This window comes from Homo sapiens, chromosome 8 (assembly GCF_000001405.40).
Source record: "Homo sapiens chromosome 8, GRCh38.p14 Primary Assembly".
In the NCBI taxonomy this organism is placed as follows: Eukaryota; Metazoa; Chordata; class Mammalia; order Primates; family Hominidae; genus Homo; species Homo sapiens.
In genome coordinates this window covers 94,899,287-94,925,788 of record NC_000008.11, presented here as the reverse complement: position 1 = coordinate 94,925,788, position 26,502 = coordinate 94,899,287, and the positions used below count along the sequence as shown (strand labels likewise).

The window sequence follows — 26,502 nt, the reverse complement described above, 5'->3', positions numbered from 1 at the left end:
GCAGGCACATCGCTTGAGGCCAGAAGTTCGAGATCAGCCTGGCCAACATGGCAAAACCCTGTCTCTACTAAAAATATGAAAATAAGCTGAGCGTGGTGGTGTGCACTTGTAGTTTCAGCTACTTGGGAGGCTGAGGCAGGAGAATCCCTTGAACCTGGGAGGCGGAGGTTGCAGTGAGCTGAGACTGCGCAGCCTGGGCAACAGAGCAAGACTCTGTCTCAAAAAAAAAAAAAAAAAAAGGATTTCTTTTTAACCTAAAATGAGGAATCACTTAAGTGAACAGGAATTGGATGGTGATCCCCAACCAGTACCTTTCCCTCCAATCAATGTTTAAAAATATAGAATGTAATACACTGGCTTTAGCCTTTTTGAAGCCAGGTGGATGAATTCCCAATGGATCTTCTCCCAAATGAATGGAGATGGAATCTTATAGAAGTGTTTTAGGACAATATGGCCTTCCCTGATGCCATTGATACCCCTATTGTGGAGCTCTAGTTTCAATAGGCCAGTAAACATTCAGAATAATGGAACACGAAGCCCAAAGAATAACTCCCATGTGAATGAATGTTTGGGGCAGATCAGCATTCTACAACTGTAGCTTATTTAAAGTCAGATTTTTATTATCTGAGTCTTTGCTGAGATGAAAAGATTGGGTGCCAGGGGTAAGAAGGAGTCACCCAAAGATGAAAATAAGGTCATGAACGTTGACTTGAGAAGCAGCAGGTTGAAATGAAAGCCCCACTTTGGGCTGGGCATGATGGCTCGTGCCTGTAATGCCAGCACTTTGGGAAGTTGAGGCAAGTGGGTCACCTGAGGTCAGGAGTTCAAGACCAACCTGGCCAACATGGCAAAACCCCATCTCTACTAAAAATACAAAAATGAGCCAGGCATGGTGGCACACGCCTGTAATCCCAGCTCCTCGGGAGGCTGAGGCAGGAGAATTGCTTGAACCCAGGATGTGGAGGTTGCAGTGAGCCAAGATCATGCCACTGCACTCCAGCCTGGGCAACAGAGTGAGACTCTGTCTCAAAAAACAAAACAAAACAGAACAAAAACCCTACTCTGGAATGGCAGGGGAATGGCTGCTGCTGAGAAGACTGTTGCTAGGCCCACTTACAGAGTGTCCAGGGAATCTAGCAGCTTGATCAGGTCTCAAGGCAGTGACTGTATGGAGTCTAGAAGTGGGCAGTCAAACATGAAGGTGGCTTGTGGGGATGGGCACATCAAGGCTTCACAGTTTGATATGTGGCCTAAGATTATCTTGCTCCTTTGCTGTAAATTTGTACAGACCACAAGGTTATTCATTGAAACACTGTCTGCTGTAAATGCAAAATTGAAAAACCTAAATGCTATGCATAGATTAGTTGAATATATTATAACACATCCCCACAATAGAGGTCAATGCAGCTTTTTTAAAAACTGAGGAAGGGGCCGGGTGCGGTGGCTCATGCCTGTAATCCCAGCATTTTGGGAGGCCGAGGCAGGCAGATCACAAGGTCAGGAGATAGAGACCATCCTGGCTAACACAGTGAAACCCCGTCTCTACTAAAAATACAAAAATTAGACGGGCGTGGTGGCGTGCCCCTGTTAATCCCAGCTACTCAGGAGGCTGAGGCAGGAGAATCGCTTGAACCCGGGAGGCGGAGGTTGTAGTGAGCCAAGATCGTACCACTGCACTCCAGCCTGGGCGACAGAGCGAGACTACGTCTCAAAAAACAAAACAAAACAAAACTGAGGAAGAGCTTTATGAACTGCTTGATTTGATTTCTAAACATACTCAAGTGAAAAAAAGCAAAATTCAGGCTGGACGCAGTGGCTCACGCCTGTAATCCCAGCACTTTAGGAGGCCAAGGCGGGTGGATCACAAGGTCAGGAGTTTGAGACCAGCCTGGCCAGCATGGTGAAACCCGGCCTATACTAAAAATACAGAAAAAAAAAAAAATTAGTCGGGCGTGGTGGCGGGCACCTGTAGTCCCAGCCACTTGGGAGGCTGAGGCAGAAGAATTGCTTGAACCCAGGAGGTGGGGGTTGAAGTAAGCCAAGATCCCCTCACTGCACTCCAGACTGGGCGACAGAGCGAGACTCTGTCTCAAAAAAAAAAAAAAAAGTAAAATTCAGAGTATCTATTGTAAGCTACACTTCATGTAAGAAAGGAATATAAGAAAACACACCACTATCAGCTCATTATGCAAAAGAAATACAGGAAGAAAAAGCCAGAAATGAAGGAGTGGTTACTTACAGAGGGTGGATAAAAAGGGTTGGAATAGAAGACAGGAAGTGGAATAGGTTAGTGGGGATGAGAAGAGAGCAACATTTCTTTGAGCATCTAGTTGTATAGATAGCTTTGGCCTTTAGAACTATTAGTAATGTTTCCAACAGTTCTTCAGTCATACTAGTAGTATTTCAAGTGCTCCACAGCCACATGTGGCTAGCAGCTACCATACTGGACAGTGCAGATAGAGAACATTTCTATCATCCAAAAGGTTCTGTTGGACAGTTTTCTCTGGACCTAACAGTTCCACAGACTCTATATAGCAATCTTGGACCACTACTCTGCTAACTTTTTCTCACACCTTACCTGCTTCATGCTATCAGAAACATTCAGGTTGTCACCACCTTTCTTCATGGCCACCCTCCTTCCTATCCGGCCTACAGACTCCCATCTGCACGATTTTGGCCATTCTCATGGTCGCATGTCAACTTTCAATCGTTTCTCTTTCCGACATGCCTGTTCTGCTAACCTCCAACTACAAGTCAATCTGAATGCAAGGCTTGCTTCTACATTTGAGCTGCCTAAGAGCAACTGGAAAAAAAAATGACTCTTGTGGGGATCACGGCCATGAGACATGGAGGGGGTACGAGCTCAAGTGCCAGTTTGGCAATTCTTTTGTGTGCAACTGGTCAATTCTCTATACGATTCCTTCTCTACTCTCAAGATCCCTAACATAGTGCTTATCAAACTTTAAAATGCAAACAAATCATCTGGGGGATCCTGTTAAAAATGCAGATTCAGCCAGCGCAGTGGCACATGCCTGTAGTCCCAGCACTTTGGGAGGCCGAGGTGGGTGGATCACCTGAGGTCAGGAGTTCGAGACCAGCCTGGCCAATGTGGTGAAAGCTCATCTCTATTAAAAACACAAAAATTAGTTGGGTGTGGTGCCGGGCACCTGTAATCCCAGCTACTCAGGAGGCTGAGGCAGGAGAATTGCTTGAACCCGGGAGGCGGAGGTTGCAGTGAGCCAAGATTACACCACTGCACTCCAGCCTGGGTGACGGAGTGAGACTCTGCCTCAAAAAAAAAAAAAAAAATTGCAGATTCTAATCCAGTAGGTCTGTTGTGTATGGGGCCAGAGATTCTGCATTTCTAGCATGATACGCATGCTGCTAGCTCAAGAGCCATGAGCAGCTAGGCCCTAACCCAGTGGTTCTCCAACTTCAGTGTGCACAATTTCCTGCAGCGCTTATTGAAACACGGATTTGGCCGGACTCGGTGGTTCATGCCTGTAATTCCAGCACTTTGGGAGGCCAAGGTGGGCAGATCACAAGGTCAGGAGATCGAGACCATCCTGGCTAACACGGTGAAACCTCGTCTCTACTTTAAAAAATACAAAAAATTAGCCGGGCGTGGTGGCACATGCTTGTAGTCCCAGCTACTTGGGAGGCTGAGGCAGGAGAATCCTTGAACCCGGGAGGCGGAGATGGAGGTTGCAGTGAGCCGAGATCATGTTACTGCACTCCAACCTGGGTGACAGAGTGAGACTCCGTCTCAAAAAAAAGAAAAAAACAAAAAAACACGGATTGCTGGACCCCATTTCTGAAGTTTCTAACTCAGTAAATCCAGGATAGAGCCTGAGAATGTGTGTTTCTAATAAATTCCCAGGTCATGCTGCCACTACTATTCCAGGGAATACACTTTGAGACCATTGCCCTAAACCACTGCTGGCCTTCTGCCTCCTATTTCACAGAGGCAATTGAGGCTAATGAGTGAGAAGCCCTATTTGAGCTCCTGTGACACCTGCTCTTCCCATATTTCAGCCATCATCACACTACTGAAGGATGTTAATCTGCATTTTTAGTAGGATTCCCCAGATGGTTTCTTTGCATTTTAAAGTTTGATAAGCACTGTGTTATGGATCTTGAAGAGAGTAGAGAAGGCATTGTATAGAGCATTGGCCAGAAGAATTTATTTGTAATTAAGAAAAACATTGAGTAAAGAAGGGATGTATTTGTGAACATTCTGCATCCATTTCCCTTCTGATAACAGTATCCCAATTTTCTTCTAGGGATCTATTTCTCCCTCCAGAATCGAGGTTAGTTTCAGATGGCATTCACTATTCCCAGCTCCAGGAGTAAGCATATGAATCAGGCCTGGCCAATCAGATATGCATTCCCCCTGGCCAAGGATAGCTCAAGGATAGGACTATGCCCCAGTCAAAGCTAGTAAGATACACTGAGGCTTTCTGGGACTGCCGAGAGAAGCTGAGACTCATCCCCACTTAACTTCAGTCAAGAAACACTTGAAGATTCGAGAACTATGGCAACTATCTTGCTCCACAAGTGGGGGAAGTTGACAGAGATACAGCCAATGTGCAAGAAGGACAGAAGGGGAGATGACTTGCCATAGTGACATAATTTAATATCTTGATCAAGCTCTACCCTTGGACTATTATGTGAGATAAAATTCCTTTTTGCTTAAGCTAGTTTGGGTTGGGTTTCTCTCACTTGTGAGTAGGCTGTTTGTATGTCTCATTGGCATCCAGTAGAGGACTTTAAGAGCTTTTTCTTAAATTTTCTTAAGGCTAGTTCTAGCCTTATTGAAGAGGATTAAGCAAGGTGATCCCAGAGCTGGAGAGGATGAAGGTGAATGCTTTAAGTGTGGAGATTGGTCCTAATAGGCAGCTAAAAACTATGAGCAGGGATGGGAATTAAAGGCTTTCATTTCTTCGGAGGCTCAGCTGCAGCTGAATGCAGAACCCTAAATGAGAGGCAGCTGCGGGATGCTCATAGAGAATGGCTGGCAACACAGCCTGTGAGCAGTGTGCAGCTTTCCAGGAGCAAGCTGGGGGTGGAGGGTCCAGTATAATAGGGCTCTGGAGTGGCATCCTGAAGCACCCATGCCTGGGCAGACATTCTGCAACAACACTGGGCTACAGCAGCCATGATGGAAAGCAGTGGGACTCAAACCCCAGCCCTCCCCTTGTTCCCTTCTACTGCATACTGGGGTTCATGTACCACCCTGGGTGGGGGACATGCAGGGACTGCAATCACTGCTCCAGTGATTAGGCCCTAAGTGCTCTGCCCTTACGAATGAAATTAATGTCCTTATAAAAGAGGCTTCAGAGAACTGCTTGGCCCTCCCCTCCTCCTGCCATGTGAGGATACTGCAAGAGGAGCCATCTTGAAGGTAGAGTGAGACTTTGCCAGACACCAAATCTGGCCTGCACCTTGAAATCGAACTTCACAGCATCCAGAACTGTGAGAAATATATTTCTATTTATAAATTACCAGTCTATTGTGTTATAGGGCAGGAATGAACTAAGACACCTAGTTAGGATCTTTCAATCTGTGATCCAAGACACCGAGTTATATCCAGATGGTTCTTATATAGTGTTATCACTATATGTATAGATATACACACACACTTACTATTATCATCTTATCCATGTAGTGTTATCATTATATATCAAACTGTTACAGCAGCCATCTCTACCCCCTTTTAACATTTTCTTTTGGAGGTCACATCCTCCAAGAAGAGTATTTTAACATGAAGTGTGACCTGCCAAAGTGAACAGACTATAGGAAATTCTATGTTAAAAAAAAATCCCACAGAGCCTTCCTGAATCTGCTCCACTTTAATTTTGAAATTTTGTGACCTAACATTTAGGTCCAAGTGTGGATTTCTTAATTTGTCATGCTTTAGACCTTGTTGCTAACTTGCTTGGTTTACAATGTTGATTTGGATGACAAATTCAGATAATACAGAGCACCTGGAATTCCTGACTTTCAGGTCAGCATTGAGAACATCAGGGCTCTCCTGCTGCATGTTACAGATGCAGGATATTGACCTGTTTCCAGGAGACAGGATAGTAATGTTCAGTGCCACCAGGGGGTTCCAGTGTGGCCTGGGAGGAGTGGCTATCACTCTAGAGGGCTTGGAGCATCCTCTCTGTCCCTGGGATGGAACAACAGTAGCCAAAACAAGTGGGCAGATTCAACGCTATGTATTCCTGGTAGCTCTGAAAATGACAGAGCAAATCATGGGAACTGCACAAAATGAATGACATTCTAAACTGTTTGACTTCTTACTTGAGAATAAACAAGTGAACTAGGAGTCTCTCTGAGCCTACTCTGGCTCAGGTAGCTGCCTGATAAAAAGAAAAATAAAGAAAAAATAAACAAGAACCAGTAATTATGGGGTACATTCAATAAAAAAGTAAAGTAATCACAGGCGCAGGAGCTCACACCTGTACTCCCAGCTACTCGGGAGGCTGAGGTGGGAGGACTGGTTGAGCCTGCGAGATCAAGGCTGAAGTGAGCTGTGATTGTGCCTCTGCACTCCAACCTGGGTGACAGAGCAAGACTCTATCTAAAAAAGGAAAAAAAAAAGTCAAGTAATAACCACTTAAAAGGACTTTCAAATAATTACACTGGCACATCTAGTCATCTATTGGGGTAAGATTTTATTTCTAAGTTCTTTAAGCTGGAAATAACATGTATTTCAAAAGATAGTCCTAAAAGAAGTGAGGAATTTGCTTCCTCTATAACAAGAATAAAACTTAAGTTTTTCAAGTTTTTTTGCCATTGAATTATCTGGCTAAAGAGAATGTGTCCCAAAGTTGCTTCAATACACCGTGGCCTAAAGGTTTTAAATAAAACTTAACTAAATTAAAACTAGTGTCATATCCAAATGCAAGGAATAAAAAGGGAAATGAATTGTATCAGTTGGTCAGCATTTACTAAACACCTCCCAAAGGTAAAACACAGGGAATGGGTTGGAAAGAGAAGGATGTTGGAGATACTGTGAACACAGAATTGAAGAGTGTGATTGGGGTGCAGGGGAAGAGGGCAAAAGGAGGAGGAAGCAAAGGATGGGAGATTTCCAGTTTGGGTGAACCTGGGGATACAAACAGAACACTCTGGCTTATGTATCCCCATGCGGGGTGCTCTCTAATGCCAAATTACAGGAATAAAATTATTCCTGTCAAAGAAACGTTTGACAACTCTATTCAAGACTATGTCATAACATAGAAATCAATGAAATGATATAGCTATCTCACAGGGTAACAATAGCCTCTAGAGAAGTCTGCAAAGGTGAAAAATGGATTAGTAATTAAAGAGCTGACCAGGATTGTCTGTGATCATCCCAGCCTCTGAAATAACATTAACAGAGTCTGAAGTGGTGGCTTCCCTGGCAGCTTATTTCTCCACCAGTCTCCCAGGGCCTACTCTGCACTATCACCTCTGGAAACCCTGGGAAGTGCAGGCCAGGGTTCTCTGCTTCAAACCAAGTCTGGGCCCTAGGGGACACGAGCCCCTCTGTGTTTAGATTACAGTGATTCTTTGAGGCTGGTTTTGTGTCTCTGGTGTGCCTGGACTGCTTCCATGGCACTGATCAGGAAGGGAGTCAGATTGGTCAGGTCGGTGCACTTAGAAGTTTGAGTTTTAAAAGTCAGGCAGAATTTCATTCTGGAAAAAAAATTACAAATATTTACCCAAAAATCCAGAGCAAGTTAGAAAGTCTTGGAACTAAGAAACAACTTACAAAGTTTCGCTGATCAAAAAAGAAACTTGACAAAACAGGCACTTGGCAACATGTGCTGCAGAATATCAATTCACAGCCCCCAGAGGGACCATGAGCATAAAGAGGCTTCCACTAATATTCTTGCACGTAAGAAGCAAACATGATGAAGAGATTGATGTATTTTATATTCTTAAAGCAAACTGAATAAACTTAAGAATTATCACTTGTACATCTTGTTATAAAATGGGCTTGGAAAAACACTAATGCATGTATTCATAACATTTAGGGGAGGATTTGACAAAGAGCAGGATAACATTAGTTTTAGCTTCCAACTAAAATGTTTGCCCTATTTTTTTAATAGAATTTGTACATTTATTTGACATTTTCTGTAAGCTCTATAGTGTTGATGCACTAAATTTTTTCTAAGACTGAGAGATTCTTTGTGGTTGAATTTTCTATTTTAAAACCAATTTTGGGGGATGCCATTGCCAATACACATTGGTAATTCAACCACCTGATCATTACACAAAAAGAATTCATTTTGGACCCAAAGTTTTGTATATCTCACTATCAACTTTGGCAGAACTTACATTAATTTCTATTTCGCAATTGTTATATTAGGAGGTAAATATACTAGTCTGAGAAATGTGGATTCTAGTTGTATTCCACAGCAGTACTTGTGTTATAGTATGAATTCCAGTAAGTACGTTAGACTACCTTGCTGATTTGAGGTTAATGCAAAGATATTTGTAAATGCCTCTGTAGCTCTCACAAGACAGACTGGAATAGGTAAAAACAAGAGGACTAAAATCCTTAGGTTATTGAAGTAAGGTTACTTTTTATTATAGAACCTTCTACGTTAACGTACACTGTTTAACCATTGGTCTTCCAAGTTTATTATTTGTGGCTTTTTTCTTTCTTTTTTTTTTTTTTTTTTGAGATGGAGTCTCGCTCTGTCACCCAGGCTGGAGTGCAGAGGTGTGGTCTCGGATCACTGCCAGCTCTGCCTCCTGGGTAGAGGATTCTCTGCTTTAGCCTCCTGAGTAGCTGGGACTACAGGTGCCCGCCACCATGCCTGGCTAATTTTTTGTATTTTTAGTAGAGACGGGGTTTCACCATATTAGCCAGGATGGTCTTGATCTCCTGACCTCGTGATTCGCCTGCCTAGGCCTCCCAAAGTGCTGGGATTACAGGTGTGAGCCACCGCGCCCGGCCTTTTTTTTTTTTTTTTGATATGGAGTCTCACTCTGTCTGTCACCCAGGCTGGAGAGCAGTGGCGTGATCTCGGCTCACTGCAACCTCTGCCTCCCAGGTTCAAGCAATTCTCCTGCTTCAGCCTCCCGAATAGCTGGAATTTAGGCACGTGCCACCACACCCAGGTGATTTTTGTATTTTTAGTAGAGAAGGGGTTTTGCCATATTGGCCAGGCTGGTCTCGAACTCCTGACGTCAGGTGATCCACCCGCCTCGGCCTCCCAAAGTGTTGGGATTATAGGCATGAGCCACTGCACCCGGCCCATTTTTGTTTTTTAATAGGTGGAATAAGCTAAAATTTGGCTTTATAGTAATTCCTTTAAATGTAAATACTAAGTAAACTTTAGTGGCTAACACTTAGGATGACAGCCGGGATGGGTCATTTATGAGGTGTTAAAGCCACAGCACTGACCTTTACCCCTTCAGACTGATAGACTAGTGGACAATAGTCCTATTGCAGGAAATTTCTTGTTGCTGGCTGGCACTAATCCCATGGGACAAGGGCATGGCTTGCCTCTGTTGTTTTGTCAGGACCACCTCCGATTCCATGTTGAATGTGCTACTGAGAAACAACAGATGGAAAGGTATTGCATCAGGCTGTAAGAAATTGCATGAACTTCGTTTTTTTCTTTTCTACACTATCTTGCTACTTCCCCCAGCTACCCAACAACCTTAAAACTCCTCACACTTTATGCCTCACTGCCTAAAGTACACACCATTTTGCTTAAATTGCACTGACCATAACTCATTCAATGGCCTCTCCTAGCTTCAAGGGAGAATGGGAAATTTAATTTTTATTTCAGCTAAATTAGGGGTTCTATTGCTAACAAAGAAGGAGAACACAGATATCAAAGGAGGGATATCCTCACAATCTCTCCCACCACCCAATACAATTCCACCTATCCTACAAGGTCTGGTACAAGTATCACTTATTCTGTAGTCCTCCTATTTGTTCCCCAGTTCCTAGACAGAAACTTAACCACTCATTTCTCTGAAGCCCCTTGTAAGTATATGATCTGTGTACCTGTTCTGGTCTCATTCTGAATTGTAAGCCCTGAAAATAACAGATGCTGACAAGGCTGCAGAGAAGAGGAAACACTGACACAGTTGGTGGGATTGTAAATTAGTTCAGCCCCTGTGAAAAGCAGTTTGGAGATATTTCAAAGAAGTAAAAACAGAATTACCATTCGACCCAACAATCCCAATACTGGGTATACACCCAAAGGAAAATAAATTGTTCTACCAAAACAACACCTGCACTCGCATGTTCATCACAGCACTATACACAACAGCAAAAGTATAGAATCAGTCTAGATGACCGTCAAAAGTGGACTGGATTTAAAAAACATGGTACACATATACCACAGAACACTACACAGCCATAACAAAGAACAAAAATACGTTCTTTGCAGCCACATGGATGCAGCTGGAGGCCGTCATTCTAAGTAAATTAATGCAGAAACAGAAAACCAAGTATCAGGTGTTCTCACTCATAAGTGAGAGCTAAATACTGGGTAAAGATGGACAGAAAGATGAGAACAATTGGCTGGGGGCAGTCACTTACATCTGTAATCCCAGCACTTTGGGAGGCTGAGGTGGGAGGATCACTTGAGCTCAGCAGTTCAATACTAGCCTGGGCAACACAGGGAGACCCCATCTCTTAAAAAAAAAAAATTTAAGATGCGAACAACAGACACTGGGGACTCCAAAAGCGGGGAGGGGGGAATAGGGGAAAAGTGTTGCAAAATGACCTATTGGGTACTGTGTTCACTATTTGGGTGATGAGTTCAATCAAAGCCCAAACCTCAGCATCACAAAATATATCCATGTAACAAACCTGCACATGTACCCGATGAAGCTAAAATAAATAAATAGCAATAATAAAACATAAATGGTAAGCTCTGAGTTGTGGACCTCTATGTATATGTGGTTCCACATGTTACTCACTTTTGTATTTTTTTTTTTTTGAGACGCCTCCGCCTCCCAGGTAGCTGGGATTACAGGTGCGCATCACCATGCCCAGCTAATTTTTGTATTTTTAGTAGAGACGGGGTTTCACCATGTTGTCCAGGCTGGTCTCGAACTCCCGTGATCCACCTGCCTTGGCCTCCCAAAGTGCTGAGATTATAGGCGTGAGCCACCGTGCCCAGCCAAGAACCTTAGTCTTGAGCAAATCAACAGTGCTGAAGAAACAGCTCTTTCCTGGTGGCATATTCTGGAAAAACATTTCACAATGCTAGTGAGTGAGCAACCATAGGCTTTGAGGAACTGGCTGACTATTCTGGGGTGTGCCACTATTGTTGGCCACATGAGATAAAACTGGCGGTGGCTGGAAAGAGCAACATCTAAAATGTTTGAGAGGTACATGTAACTCACCCAGGCCTTACTATGCAAACAAAACATGAGTAACCAGGTAAGTACTTTCTGGCTGGTCAATAACTACTCCATAGCAGCTGCATGAGTTCCCTGCAGTGGCATGGATGCTGGCTTACAGCGATGTTTGAAACCAAATCTACAGATGAAGACTTCAAAGGATTTTATTTCACTAATAAGAAGACTACCTTATTCCCAAAGTTTATCCACTAAAACTATAAAACCGACATCAAATAAATATTCCACATTGACAGTGAAGACCCTGATGTGCCTGTCTTAAGCAGAGAAACCACTGAAAAAAAAAAAAAAAAAAAAAAAGAGATAAGGTCTCAGGCCGGGCGCGGTGGCTCACGCCTGTAATCCCAACTCTAGGAGGCCAAAGCGGGCAGATCGCTTGAGGTTAGGAGTTCAAGACCAGCCTGGCCAATATTGCAAAACCCCATCTCTATTAAAAATACAAAAATTAGCTGGGCGTGGTGGTGCATGCCTGTAGTCTCAGCTACTCAGGAGGCTGAGGCAGGAGAATCGCTTAAGCTCAGGAGGCAGAGGCTGCAGTGAGCTGAGATCGCGCCACAGCACTCCAGCCTGGATGACAGATTAAGACTTGGTCTCGAGAAAAAAAAGAGACAAGGTCTCGCTCTGTCACCAAGACTGGAGTGCAAGGATGTGATGGGAGCTCACTGAAGCCTCAAATTCTTGGGCTCAAGCAATCTTCCCACCTTAGCCTCCCGAGTAGCTGGGACTACAGGTGCATGCCAGAATGCTAAGCTGATTTTTAAAACTGTTTCGTAGGGATGAGGTCTTGCAATGTTGTCCAGGCTAGTCTTGAACTCCTGGCCTCAAGCGATCCTACTGCTTTGGCCTCCCAAAGTGTTGGGATTACCGGCGTGAGCCACTGCGCCTGGCCCAGAAATGGTTTTAAATACAGATAATCATGAGGGTTATAGTGATGATGAAGAGGAAATTATAAACATGGGTGGAACAATAATCACTAGATGATATGGTGAAAATGTGTGATCAGTCAATGGTGGGCTTTGAGCCATGTACATTTATCAGTGAACATGAGTTTATGGCAGTTTTCATAATTAAAAAGGAACAGATGGAAACCCAAATTAATGAACCATTATGACATGGGGGGCAACGAGTCCTTAAAAAGGGCACCTGCTAGAGTGCTGCATTTAATCCTACTCCTGCTGGCATCAGATGTCCCCTGCCAGCCTACTGCTGGGACAGGCACTGATGTTACTCTCCTCTAGGATGTACAAACACCAGAGGTTACACATGTTCATCCTTTGTGTATGCACAGGCATAGTTAGCCAAATTTGAACCTGTATATATTGAAAGAGTTATAAAATGTTTTCCTTAGAAAAATGACTACCAGAGTACTTACAATCTATATTTGTTCCACTCTTTCACTGACTGGTTTATTATCTATTGATTGATTGAGATGGAGTCTCGCTTTGTCGCCAGGCTGGAATGCAGTGGCGTGATCTGGGCTCACTGCAACCTCCCCCTCCCAGGTTCAAGTGATTCTCCTGCCTCAGCCTCCAGAGTAGCTGGGACTACAGGCATGTGCCACCATGCCCAGCTAATTTTTTTTTTTTTTTTTGAGACGGAGTCTTGCTCTGTCGCCCAGGTTGAAGTGCAGTGGCATGATCTCGGCTCACTGCAAGCTCCGCCTCCCGGGTTCACGCCATTCTCCTGCCTCAGCCTCCCGAGTAGCTGGGACTACAGGTGCCCGCCACCACGCCCAGCTAATTTTTTGTATTTTTCTTTCTTTTTTTTTTTTAGTAGAGACAGGGTTTCACTGTATCAGCCAAAATGGTCTCAATCACTTGACCTCGTGATCTGCCAACCTTGGCCTCCCAAAGTGCTGGGATTACAGGCGTGAGCCACCGCACCCAGTCTACTGGTTTATTATTTAAATAAACTACAGAGTTTGTCCTAATTAGTTCTTCGTACATTTCACTGCAGAAATATTAATGCTTTATCATAGTGTGTTACCTTAGACCCTGCCAGGGCTTTTATGTGATGTGTGGTTTTGTATACATACATATTTCCTTTCAAAAAATCTGAAAAGCTCTGAATTCTAAAACTCATCAGGCCGCAAAGATGGATGATAGTGGACCTTATTTTACTCAAAAGGCAAATAATGCACTTGTAGGAAATCATTCCACTGTTCCAGGTTAAGATCCTTTTTGAACAATTCCTAATGTCTGTCACTTTTGGTTATGTATATTTCTAACTAAAGGCAGCTACTCTATCTTTCCCTCGTAGGATAGAGACCACTGTTAAATTCTGGCACTGATATGAAAACAAAACTTAGCAGAAAAACTGAGGGAGTTTAATCATATCTGGTGGTAATACCTCCTAAATGATATCATACTCTAAGAGCCTTTGCAAGATTATATGAAGAATGAATTAATTTCTCTCTAATAATGCAGCACTGTCATTACGAACAGCAGTTACTCACTGTGAAAACCAAGTGTGGGCCCAGACCATCCGGCTTCTTGAGCTATTGTGTTTGAGTATCAGTATTCCACAGACCCCTCAGCTCAAACCAGGCTATCACTTCTGGCTGCTCTCAAGGAACCTGCCATAGCATCCTCACTAACGTGCCAAAGCTGGAAAAACCTCATTTTGTTGTCTAAATTAAGAATAAATGATCCAGGTGAGCTTGAACTTTAGACATCTGTTTTGGCTGTTCAGAGGCCCATCTCCTTCCTTCCTGCTTCTCAGCTGGGTTAGTAATAACTGAGGTACCAGGTAAATAACCCCTGGAGGGCCAAGGTACCATTGTATATTATTCTTACTTTGTCTCTAAAAGGATTAAAGGGAGAAACAGTGATTATCTGCTGGATCTTTGTGGAGACACTAATCCACCTCTTTGGAAGTCCAAGGCCAAGTTGAGAACATGAAGAGAACACACACCAGAAGCGGAGCCAACGCATTCTGCATTTATTTTAATATTCTACTCCAAATCACTTATGTGGGAGGAAAAAGAAAGTAACATTTATAAAAGGATAATGTTACAAGCTTCGTATACTTCCTTTAATTATATACTGTGAGGTAGGTGTTATTCCCTTTTTATAGATGAAGACTGAGGTTAGGTAATTTATTAATTCCAAACCTCTCATGAATATTAAGTGATAAAAACTAGCTTATAATCCATCTGTTTATCTCAAACCCATGCTCCTCAAAATTTTCACTTTATTAAAGAATCACAATATCAATACATGCTTGCTGTAAAAGTCAAATACAGACGTGTTAATATCTCCTCCCCCAGCCCAAATCTGCTCTCACGGTAACAAATTTTAATAGCTGAGGTGGCATCTTGCCACTTCTTTCTCCAGGCTCATATAATCATGTATACACACGTATGAAGATTTCCTTATTTTTCTCCAAAGTAAGATCTTACTTTAACATTTTCCATTAACATCACTCTGCAATGTTTATCACTTACGAATGTATCACAGCTTTTCAAGTCCACATAGGTAATCTCAACTCATTTTTAAAAAATTGCATGATATATTCTATACTATACTATAGATGAACCATACTTTTTAAAACACTTCCTGATAAAATTTAAATTATCTCTAGGTTTTTGCTATTACAAACAAAGCTATAGTAAACTTTCTTGAACATATATTCTTAAAAATTGGAACCCTGATTTTCATAAACTAAATGAAAAGTGATATTACTGAATGTAATCTGTGAACTTTTTAAGACTGAGCTGTTCCTATTGTCAGGTTTTGACTCATAGAGATATGCAAGGCCAAACAATGGAATCCATCTTCCCGACAGTCCTAGTAAAGTCATTCCCACTGGACAGAAGGCAAGATTCTTTTAGATTCTGTGCAATGTGAACTCTCAGTAGGGCTAGGGTCTACACGAGGAGGTATCAGAGAAAGAAATGGGTTATTATTTTATTAACTTTCAAGCTCAGAGGCCTCTATCAAGACCAGTTCAGGCCAGGCGCGGTGGCTCATGCCTGTAATCCCAGCACTTTGGGAGGCCAATGCAGGTGGTTCACCCGAGGTCAGGAGTTTGAAACCAGCCTGGCCAACATGGTGAAACCCTGTCTCTACTAAAAATACAAAAATTAGCTGGGCATGGTGGCACATGCCTGTAATCCCAGCTACTTGGGAGGCTGACGTATGAGAATTGTTTGAACCCGGGAGACAGAGGTTGCACTGAGCCAAGCTTGTGCCACTGTACTACAGCCTAGGCGACAGAGCGACTCCATCTCCAATAAAAAAAAACCAAAAAAACAAACAAAAAAAAGTTCCTAAATGGGCAGGAGTAGGGAACCCTGGCTGGTTACCTTTTCCACAACTCCCGCCCACCTTACCCCTATGCAAGGTATACAAGAGAGAAGGAAAAAAAAATGAAGGAGAGAACATGAGTTTCCTACAAGAAGGGCCATGTCAGAAAGGGGCCTAGTTTTCAGGGGCCTCTGATGCAGACAAAGCAGAGGGCAACTTGGTCTCTCACAAGCTCAATGCACTCTCTCAGGCTGAGTGAAACCAGGTGACACACAGAGGCACTGGCTGGAGAAGCCAGCTTTTTGTAATTCTTTTATATATATATATGTGTGTGTGTGTGTGTATATATATATATGTGTATATATATACACATATATAATTTTTATTTATTTATTTTAGAGATGAGGTCTCACTATGTTGCCTAGGCTGGTCTCAAACTCCTGGGCGAAGTGACCCACCCACCTTGGCCTCCCAAAATGCTAGGAGCTACCACGCCCGGCTGGCTTTTTGAAAAAAATTTTTTTTTGTTTTTGAGATGGAGTCTCACTCTGTCGCCAGGCTGGAGTGCAGTGGCGCGACCTCAGCTCACTGCAACCTCAGCCTCCTAGGTTCAAGCGATTCTCCAGCCTTAGCCTCCCAAGTAGCTAGGATTACAGACGCCCACTACCACACCCGGCTAATTTTTTGTATTTTTAGTACAGACGGGGTTTCACTATGTTGACCAGGCTGGTCTTGAACTCCTGACCTTGTGATCCGCCTTGGCCTCCCGAAGTGTTTTTTTTTTTTTTTTTTTTTTTTTTTTTTTTTTGAGACGGAGTCTCCCTCTGTCGTCCAGGCTGGAGTGCAGTGGTGCAATCTCAGCTCACTGCAATCTCCGCCTCCCAGGTTCAAGCTATTCTCCTGCCTCCGCCTCCCAAGTAGCTGGGATTACTTACAGGTGTGCACCACCACACCTGGCTAGTTTTGTATTTTTAGTAGAGATGGGGTTTCGCCATGTTGGTCAGGCTGGTCTCGAACTCCTGACCTCAGGTGATCCACCCACCTCGGGCTCCCAAACTGCTGGAATTACAGGTATGTGCCACTGTGCCTAGCCAGCTTTTTGAAATTCCTAAACTGGATGTGTACCTTTGGATACATATATAAACTTTCCAATTCTTATTTTCCTCTTTTGAAAAATGAGTGAGGGGTTCAGGATTTGTGATGTGTGAGGCCACTTCTAATTCTATAATTCTAGTTATAAAATGTGGATAATTTCCTATGACATTTGTATGAATTCATACAAATATAAAATTAGGAGTCAAGGCTTGGGTTCAAGTTCCAATCTGCAAGCTAAATAATCTTAGAGAAGCCCTCTGACTCCTCTGAGTCTTATTCCTCAGCTATAAATCTGGCAAAATAAACCTCATAGAGTTGTTGCAAGACTCAAGTAAGGGGATACCTGTGAAATTACTTGTGAACGATAAAGATGTTAAAATAAATGTAGCATAGGCCACGAGCGGTGGCTCACATCTGTACTCCCAGCACTTTGGGAGGCTGAGATGGGAGGATTACTTCAGGCCAGGAGTTTGAGGACAGCCTGGGCAACATAGCAAGACCCCATCTCTACAGGAAATTTAAAAATTAGCCAGGGAAGAGGGTGCATTCCTGTAGTCCCAGCTACTTGGGAGGCTGAGATGGGAGGATTGCTTGAGCCCAGGAGGTTGAGTCCATAGTGAGCTATGATCATACAACTGTACTCCAGCATGGGCAACAGAGTAAGACTGTCTCTAAAAATAAACAAATAAATGTGGCATAGTATTCTTAGTAAATCTAAGCTACTAGTTCTCCTTTCTTTGCTCAACTTAAACTTCATTAATCAAATATTTAAGTCATTCATTCCACACATATTTATGGAATGTCTTCTGTTTTAGGCACTATACCTCAGTGAATAAGACACTGAATTTTTATTTACTGTCCAACACTGGCCAGGCACAATGCGAGGTACTGGGCACACAATGGTGTAATTGAGAGCTTTTAATGGGAGACACAGGCAAACTCAAGTCATGGGACTTAGACTTGAAAATGTCCTTTCACAATGTGTATCAAATACAGAAATTTAAACATAAATATTTTAGCAAGGCACACACAAGGGAAATAAACTGTATTAAACATAGTAGAGAGGTGAATGTAGTACCTGCTATGACCCAATACATAGGGGCCAGCCACTATTTTAGGTACTGGAGATTCAGCAATGAACAAAGCAGACCAAGTCCCTGGCCTTCTGGAGCTTACATTCTACTAGAAAGCCTGAATCACAGGCATATGTTCTCAGGACCTCCTGAGGGATGTGTCACAGGACTAAAAGAAAGGTTGAATCAGCCAGACTATTACTAATTACATATGGAAGATACAGGCAAAGAAAAGTATGAGGCTGATGTGAAAATTATGAGACAAAGTTCTGGACCCAGAGCTTCTGGCCTCTTCTCTTGGTAGTACTCAGTTCCCCTTATCAGAACTGAAGGCATGATGAACTCTGACTTGCTCACCTCATTTCTCATTCCAATTATTCAGCTTGGACAAGTAGCAGCTTTTACCAAGGAGTGAGATGTTTGGGTATATGGGATAATCACAGCTATGTTTCAGCTATGGTAAACTGTTATGGCTTTAGATTTTCAAACACCATTCATATATTCTGCAAATGTATGATTGAGCTCTACCCTTTTCTAGGGTCCTTTGAATCTATCTGTGTCTCACACAGCACGAGGACTCCTGCAGCCAATAATGGATCACTAGCCTCCATCTAACCTCTAACTATTGCTCACATATGCATTCAGCAGTGTATCCAACAACTGCAGATTCTTTAGTATGATGCACTGTGCAAGGTCCTTGCTACCTGGCATTTACATTCACATTGAAAACTTAAGAGAAATGCAAACTCTAGTATTAGACAGTATGAGTTGATGCCATTTGATTAAATGACATATAGGAGCTACAAGGAGAAAGACATCACTTCTGGCTAGAGTAACCGCAGGAGAGAAAGATGCAGCTCTTGTGAGACTGTTTTGTGCTGGCCACACTGCAAGACATTTTACATACATTCTCTCACTTGCCAGGAAAGCTTCATGAAGGACTTGGTAGTCTAAGACCCTGAGGAAGAATTTGGTAAGGCAGACACGTAGTTTCAACTGAATTTTCATTTACTGTCCAACATTGGCCAGGCACAATGCTAGGTGCTGGATACATAATGTTGACGGTGCAATTAAGAACTTCTAGTGGGAGACACAGACAAATAAACAGGCAATTACAACTACCCTATAGTGTAATGTATACAAATAGATAAAGCACAGGGGCAATGGCAGAACAAGGTCAAGTGTATTTGTCATGATCCTCTCAGTTGCACATGATAAAACTGACTCAAAATAATCTTAAGCTAAAATGTGATGGACTGGCTTTCATTACTAGGAACCACCAAGGTGGATCCACGACTTAAACCAGGACACTCCCTCTGCTCTGTGTCAGCATGTCCTTTAGTGCTGCAGATGGGAGGTCCCCCAGGTGAACATTCTTTGACACAGTGACCCTAGAGGCAAGAGGCAGGCTTCTTGGCTAGCTCACGTGGAGGGAAGGACTTTGGCCCTGCTTGGAACATTTGTCCTATCATGAAACAATCCCTGTTGCCAAGGGAAAGGGCACCACAATCAACAAACTGGGTTTACACACCTAGCCCTGCTGGTGAGTGGTGGGTTAGGTTCTTATACCAGCAGAAAGGGAGACGGGAGAAATACATATGGGGTCACCACAAACAACAGCTACCACATGGAAGCCCTGAAGTGACAGTGCAGTTATGGGAACAGCAGGGACACAGGGAAAGGGACGTGTGGGATGAGTTCCTGGGATGGTGAATAGATTAGTTCAGCTGGAGCAGTGGTCATACCTAAGAGCACAGAGAAGAACCAAAGAGGGCAGGGCAGACTGTGGAGGGCCTTGAATACCTGCTAAGGACTCTATAGCAGCCTGATGGGAGCACGGTGACAGCTTTGCTCAGAATCTGTAGGGCGATCCTTTGGAGTTCATAAACATGATGACTAGGTGTTCACGTGCACGTGTGAGATGTGCCGCCCTTGAACCTTGTTATGATGCTGGTACATTACCTATCTGACATGAAAAAATATAAACAATTTTTTAAAAAATCTACAGGGCAACAAGAATGAAAGTGTGAAACACCTACAAACTGTATCTTCGGTGAAATGAGGAAGTGACAAAGTTTACAAATTTCACATTGTGTGTGGCGTCACCCCCAAACCAGCACAGTAATCTACAACGTGTGGGCAGGTGCCATAGGAAACACCAGAAACTGCACAGCAGTCCAGCTGGTGGTGGATCCCAGCCATCCCCAGGGAAATTCAACCCCAAGAGGAGAAGACTCACCCTGGATGAGAACCACTATGAGCAGGACCAAGAAGGAAGAGGGCAAGAACACTAGGAGAGGAAGAAGGAAATCACCAGAGTGCCTAGAGGGCACCCAGGTAGCTTTGGGAAGTGCAGCTTCCAAGAGACAGAGGAGTACCTTGGTAGGAAGGGGCAGGATGCCTCCGAATCAGTGGCTGGGGAAGGACCAGGGAAGCTCTGGGCTTGTTGAAACCCACCCAAGTGAGGTTAGGATCCTAAAGTCAGAGGAGGTCTGGCTACACAGAGATGCCATTCAGTAAACAGTAGGCCTCTCACTACAACAGAGGAGGGAGCCCTCGAGCTGAGAATCAAGGAAAGCTGCCTCCCCTCTCACATCACAGGACTCACTTGCTAACTGTTGCCTCAGAAAAATCCGACCCGTCAAAAAATAAATGATTTTTAAAATCCACAAAAGGTTCTCCCAGAAAAAAAAAAAAAAACCTGAAAAGGAGTGGCAAAACTTCCTCCCTGCAGAAAGAAAACTCATCCAAAAAATCCTGCCACAAAGAAGAAGAAAAAAATTTTTTTTTCTTGAGACATAGTCTCCCCTAGTTGGGCTAGAGTGCAATGCCGCAATCTCAGCTCACTGCAACCTCTGCCTCCTAGATTCAAGCGATTCTCCTGCCTCAACCTCCCAAGTAGCTGGGATTACAGGTATGCACCACCGGGCCCAGATAATTGTTATGTTTTTAGTAGAGACAGGGTTTCACCATGTTGGCCAGGCTGGTCTCGAACTCCTAACCTCAGGTAATCCGCCCGCCTTGGCCTCCCAAAGTGCTGGGATTACAGGCATGAGCCACCGCGCCTGGCCAGAAGAAGAAAATTTTAACCCAATATTCTATTATGATTTTTTTTTTAAATGTAATAAGGCAATGACAGTTATGCAGGAAGATGACAAAGCAGAAATAAAGAACTCAAGGAAGGGGTGGTCAGGAAGCAGAAGGTGACAAACCATGGGAGGGCATGAAAAAGGAGCCTGGACATTAAAAACTGCTTTAGGAAAGAAACAGGAAAGAAATACAGAAACACTGCAAAAAACAAACAAACAAACAAAAAACAAATGACAAGGAACACAAGGGAGAAGAGACACTACTGTGAAAGATACCGTGGAAGACATAAAGAACAGAATCAAGAAAAGTAAAAAATAGAAACTTAAAATCATTAGAGAAGTGACAGGCAAATGAAACTGCATAAAGTTAGAGTCTCTGAAGAAAAACAATGGAACAGAACAAATTATTTTAAAACATGGTTCAGGCCAGGCGCGGTGGCTCACACCTCTAATCCCAGCACTTTGGGAGGCCGAGGCGGGCAGATCACGAGGTCAGGAGATCGAGACCATCCTGGCTAACACGGTGAAACCCTGTCTTTACTAAAAAAAAAAAAAAAAAAAAAAAAAAAAAAAAAAAAAGCAAAAAAAATTAGCCAGGTGTGATGGTGGGTGCCTGTAGTCCCAGCTACTCGGGAGGCTGAGGCAGGAGAATGGCGTGAACCCACAAGGCAGAGGTTGCAGTGAGCCGAGATCGCGCCACTGCACTCCAGCCTGGGCGACAAAGTGAGTCTCCATCTCAAAAAAAACCAAAAAACAAAAAAACCACAAAAACAAAAACAAAAAAACACATGGTTCAATTTTAAGTAGGGTTTGGAACTGGGATTGGAAGGACAGCTTGGCCCAGTTCACAGACCTAGATTTAGGAACCAAAAGGGGAAAGAAGGCCTGGAAGTTATCTCAAGACTAGGGAGCCAGGGGCAGGTCAGAGGTGCTCTTTGTCCACAGGATCCCTCTGCCCTGGGTCTCTAAGAAGAGAGAGGCACAGGAGTGGGAAAGGACAGTGCTGCCTGCCCCACACATCCTGGTTCAGCCTAGCATCAATTACCTACAGAAGCAGGGGTTGACAGGGTGGGGAGGAGTGAGTAAATAGTTCAGAAACAGCGCCTTAAAAACTAACAAGTTACCAACTAGAGAACCAAAAAGTAGAGATTAATCTCTGTGCATCCATCACTCAGTTTATTAACTATTAACATTTTACCCTACTTGTTTCAAATGCTTTTAAGGAAATACAAATGTTACAGATATAGCTGAAGCCTATTATAAACTCCCCCCGAACCCAAGATGCCACTGTCCTGAAATTGATGGCTACTTTGGTGAAGCACGCTTTTATGCTATTACTGCGTAAGTATGTATCTACAACTACTGTAATTTGTATTACATGCTTTCAAATTTTATATAAATGGTATCATATTGAATGTGACCTATAATTTGCTTTTGTTTTTGAAAAACATTGTTTCTGAGATTTATCCCGGTTGATACACATGGCTGTACTTCATTTTAACTATGACAGTTTTGTTGTTGTTGTTTTCTTTGTTTTTTTCGAGACAGGGTCTCTCTCTGTTGCCCAGGCTAGAGTGCAGTGGTACAATCTCAGCTCACTGCAGCCTCGACCTCCTGGGCTCAAGTGATCCTCCACCTGAGCCTCCTGAGTAGCTAGGGCCACAGGGGCACACCACCACACCCAGCTAACTTCTTTATTTTTTGTGGAGCCAGGGTTGCCCAGGGTGGTCTCGAACTCCTAGGCTCAATCGATCCTCCTGTTTCCACCTCCCAAAGTGCTGGGATTATAAGTGTGAGCCACTGCACCCAGCCCCTATTAGTTCTCAAAATAAAATATATACCTACCCTGTGACCTCACAATTCCACTCTTAGGTATATGTTCAAAAGAAATGAATACAGGCTGGGCACAGTGGCTCACGCCTGTAATCCCAGCACTTTGAGGCCGAGGCAGGTGGATCACCTGATGTCAGGAGTTTGAGACCAGCCTGGCCAACATGGTGAAACGTCATTTAGTAGTCTCTACTAAAAATATAAAAATTAGCTGGGCGTGGTGGTGGGCGCCTGTAATCCCAACTACTCGGGAGGCTGAGGCAGGAGAATTGCTTGAACCCAGGAGCCGGAGGTTGCAGTGAGCTGACACAGTGCCCCTGCACTCCAGCCTGGGGGTGACAGAGTGAGACTCCATCTCAAAAAAAAAAAAAAAAAAGTATGTCCACAAAAAGACTTCCTTGTGGACATACAAGAATGTTCAGGGTGACTTTATTCACAATAGCTAATAATTAAAAAATAACAAAGTGTAGCATATCCATACAATGGAATACTAAGCAACAAAAAGGAGCAAAGTACTGATACATTCAACAACATGAATGAAATTAAAAAACACTGTGGTGGTAATGTTCCACAACTTGATAAGAGTTTGGGTTACACAAGTCTATTTATTAAGATTATATACCTGAGATTTATATCTTTTTTTTTTTTTTTGAGACAGGGCCTCACTCTGTCACCCAGGCTGGAGTGCAATGGCATGATCTGGGCTCACTGCAATGTCCACCTCCTGGGTTCAAGCAATTCTTGTGCCTTAGCTTCCGGAGTGACTGGAATTACAGGCATGGGTCACCACACCAAGCTAATTTTTGTTTTTGTTTTTTTGATAGAGTTTCATCATGTTGGCCAGGCTGGTTTTGAACTCCTGGTCTCAAGTGATCCACCTGCCTTGGCCTCTCAAAGTGCTGGTATTACAGGTGGGAGCCACCACGCCCGGGCTATACCTTTCATATTGAACTGTTAATGCTAGGCATGCTAAAGTACTTAGGGAGACATGTACTGATATCTCCTTTTTTTTTTCTTTTTGAAATGCACCAGAAAATAAGATGGAATGATGGATGGATAGATGGAGAGATCTGTGATGAAGTAAGCATAGCAAAATGTTGATAGTGGAATACAGGTGGTATGGCATATGGGTGTTCATTATAAAATCCTTTCAACTTTGCTGAATGTTTAAAATTTTTCGTAAAAGGCTGGGCACAGTGGCTTATGCCTGCAATCCCAGCACTTTGGGAGGCTGAGGCCAGCGGATCACTTGAGGCCAGGAGTTGGAGACCAGCCTGGCCAACATGGCGAAACCCTGACTCTACAAAAAATACAAAAAAACTTAGCCAGGAATGGTGACGCATGCCTGTAATACCAGCTACTTGGGAGGCTGAGGCATGAGAATCACTTGAACCTGGGAGGTGGAGGTTGCAGTGAGCTGAGATCGCGCCACTGCACTCCAGCCTGGGTGACAGGGCAAAATTCTGTCTCAAAATAATAATAATAAAATGTAGAGGGAAGTTAAAAACATTTAACCTGTCCAAAACCAACTCCTGATTTTGTCCTATGCCATAGCTGTTCCTCTGAGTGACAGCCATTCATCCATCTAGTTGCTTGCCTTTTACTTGTCTCAGTCGCCTCAGTCTATTCATCAGCACAGCTCTACTTTCAGCGTATATCCTGAGTGTGCTTCTCCCAATCTCCACCACCCAGCCTGCTCCCACAAACTAACCCCTTCCCTGCATTGCACCCATCTCCTATCCAGTCTCCCTGCTTCTACTCTTTTCCCCTGCTGGAGTCTACGCTTCACATAGCAGCCAGCTGGATGCTTTTAAAACATTCTCACTGCATCTCCTTCCCATCACTCCCTTGCTCACTACGTTCCAGCCATACAAACCTCGTTGTGCACTAAATATGCCAAGGTCCTCTGGGCTTTGTTCCTCTGCTTAGGATGTTCTTCCTTCCTATTTGTATGGCTTATTCTCTCTTCATAGTTCTCTGCTCAAATGTCTCATCAGGAGGCCTTCCCTAAACAGCTAACATAGCACCTCCTGTTCTCTTACCCTGCTCTTATTTTTCATCTTAGTTATTACTATCTGACACATTTATTAGTTTCTATGACATTCCCCCTCCCTTACACTAGATTTAAGATCTAAGGGGCAGGAATTGTTTGCTTTACTGTGCCCTACTGTTGTTGAATTAATGAATGAACTAAATAAAATGTCACCTCCTCTGTGAGTCCTCCCCAGATCACTCCCCGCCCCTGCAGTCCCCTCTGCCATATCATCTTATATTTTGCATCATGCTTAACAATAGTTATCCGTTCCACATTTATCCTCTGTTCCCCAGTCCAACAGAACTCAAGCTCTGGGGACAGAGAACAGTGTTTCTTGGTGACTTCCATATCCTCCTCAGTGGAGAGCAGGGCCCCGCCCAGAGCACTCTGTGCCCTCCCGCCTACTCCAACCTCCCAGAGCTTCTGGATTTCCATCACTGCCGGACTTTTCTGTTCTCTCTCCTCACTGTGGAGTTTCAGGAATCATGAAGGAGCTGAACTGACCATCTCTGAGGTGCGCTGTCTACGTCTCACAATCTACAATGCCTTCCTTTTTAAGGGCCCTCCCTCTGAGGTGGCAGCCAAGTGCAGCACTGGCAGAGCCAGAGGCTCATCTACCTAGACTCCCTGGTGCCTCTGGTGTCCTCAGAGCTCAGGAGCAGAGGGCAGTGCTCTGCTGCCACCCTGCTGAGCCCTCCAAGGTGCCAGCTGCAAAACTCTTTCAAGGGACTGTTCCCTGGAGTTAGGTTCCAAGGGCCCCCCACCGAGAGCACACCTCTGCCCCCTCCCCTCCATTTATCCCACAAAGAGGGTTGCGGTCCACCAGGCCCCAGGCCAGCCCTGAAAGAGACAGCCCCTGTCCCCAGGGGCTCCCTACAGCCTGGCAGAGACAAGCAGGGGTAGAGGCAAGCATAAGTTGGAGAAGAGGTGCTACAAAGGAAAGTCCTACTTCAGAACAGGGCAAGACAGCTTTCTAGAAAAGGCAGTGTTTGAGTATTAATGAATAAATGGGATCTAGCTGGGGAAAGGCAATGGAGGTGGGGAGAATGAGGTGCAGGTGCCAAGGTCCCAAGGTGAGAAGGACAGGGGATGTGGACAGCTCCATGTAGGGGGATCTCCTGGGCGCAAGAGGTCTTGTGTGTTTAAGTTTTGGGGTTTGACTGTTAATCCAAGCGGAGGTACAGAAAGGTTTTAAGGAGTGGCATCTGTGCTTTGGAAGGGCAGTTTGGCAACAGGTTGGAAGGCAGACTGCAAGAGGCAATGCATGTCAGGAAAACCAGTTAGAAGAGTATTGCACTGAAGAGAGAATGGTGTCCTGAACTAAGGCAGAGGGAAATAAAGCATGAATGTGGAAATGACTTGGGAACAGAAGAGAAAGGAATTTGGTGATAAATGGAGGCAGCACAGCACAGGTGAGCTGGAGTCAGACTCTACTGTGGATCTTAGGCAAACTACACTTGTGCCTCAGCTTCCTCATTTATAAACCAGGAATGACAGTCATTAGCACCTGTCTTATAGTGTTGGTGGAAGATTGAAGGAGTTAATAGTATGTGAAGGCTTGGGGTACAGCCTAGCACATTATCTTACCCAGGAAATATTAACTATGATTATGAAGCTCAGAAAAGAAGAAAAAAGGAATGACTAAGTTCACTCCCAGGATTCTGGTTTGGGCAACTATGTATGCAGTTCTCAAAGTGTGTTCTGTGGACATCTAGAGGTCTCAATGACGCTTCAAAGTAGAATGTGAA

The 26,502-nt window shown here is 43.8% G+C and overlaps 1 protein-coding gene and 1 non-coding gene across 12 annotated transcripts in view, besides 1 other annotated feature; one reads left to right on the top strand and one right to left on the bottom strand.

Annotated features, from left to right (window-relative positions):
- Nucleotides 1–26,502, bottom strand: part of NDUFAF6 (NADH:ubiquinone oxidoreductase complex assembly factor 6) — a 222,698-nt gene that overhangs the window by 192,708 nt on the left and 3,488 nt on the right. The gene's annotated exons all lie outside the window — the stretch shown is intronic.
- Nucleotides 19,670–19,772, top strand: LOC124902084 (small nucleolar RNA U13). The gene has a single exon (XR_007061215.1). It is a non-coding gene; the product is annotated as a small nucleolar RNA U13 (small nucleolar RNA).
- Nucleotides 19,975–20,254: an enhancer, noted in NCBI's record as "active region_27636". NCBI's record gives its function as "activates an Ori minimal core promoter by ATAC-STARR-seq in GM12878 lymphoblastoid cells {active_cell/tissue: GM12878}" and the evidence as "EXISTENCE:reporter gene assay evidence [ECO:0000049][PMID:35858748]".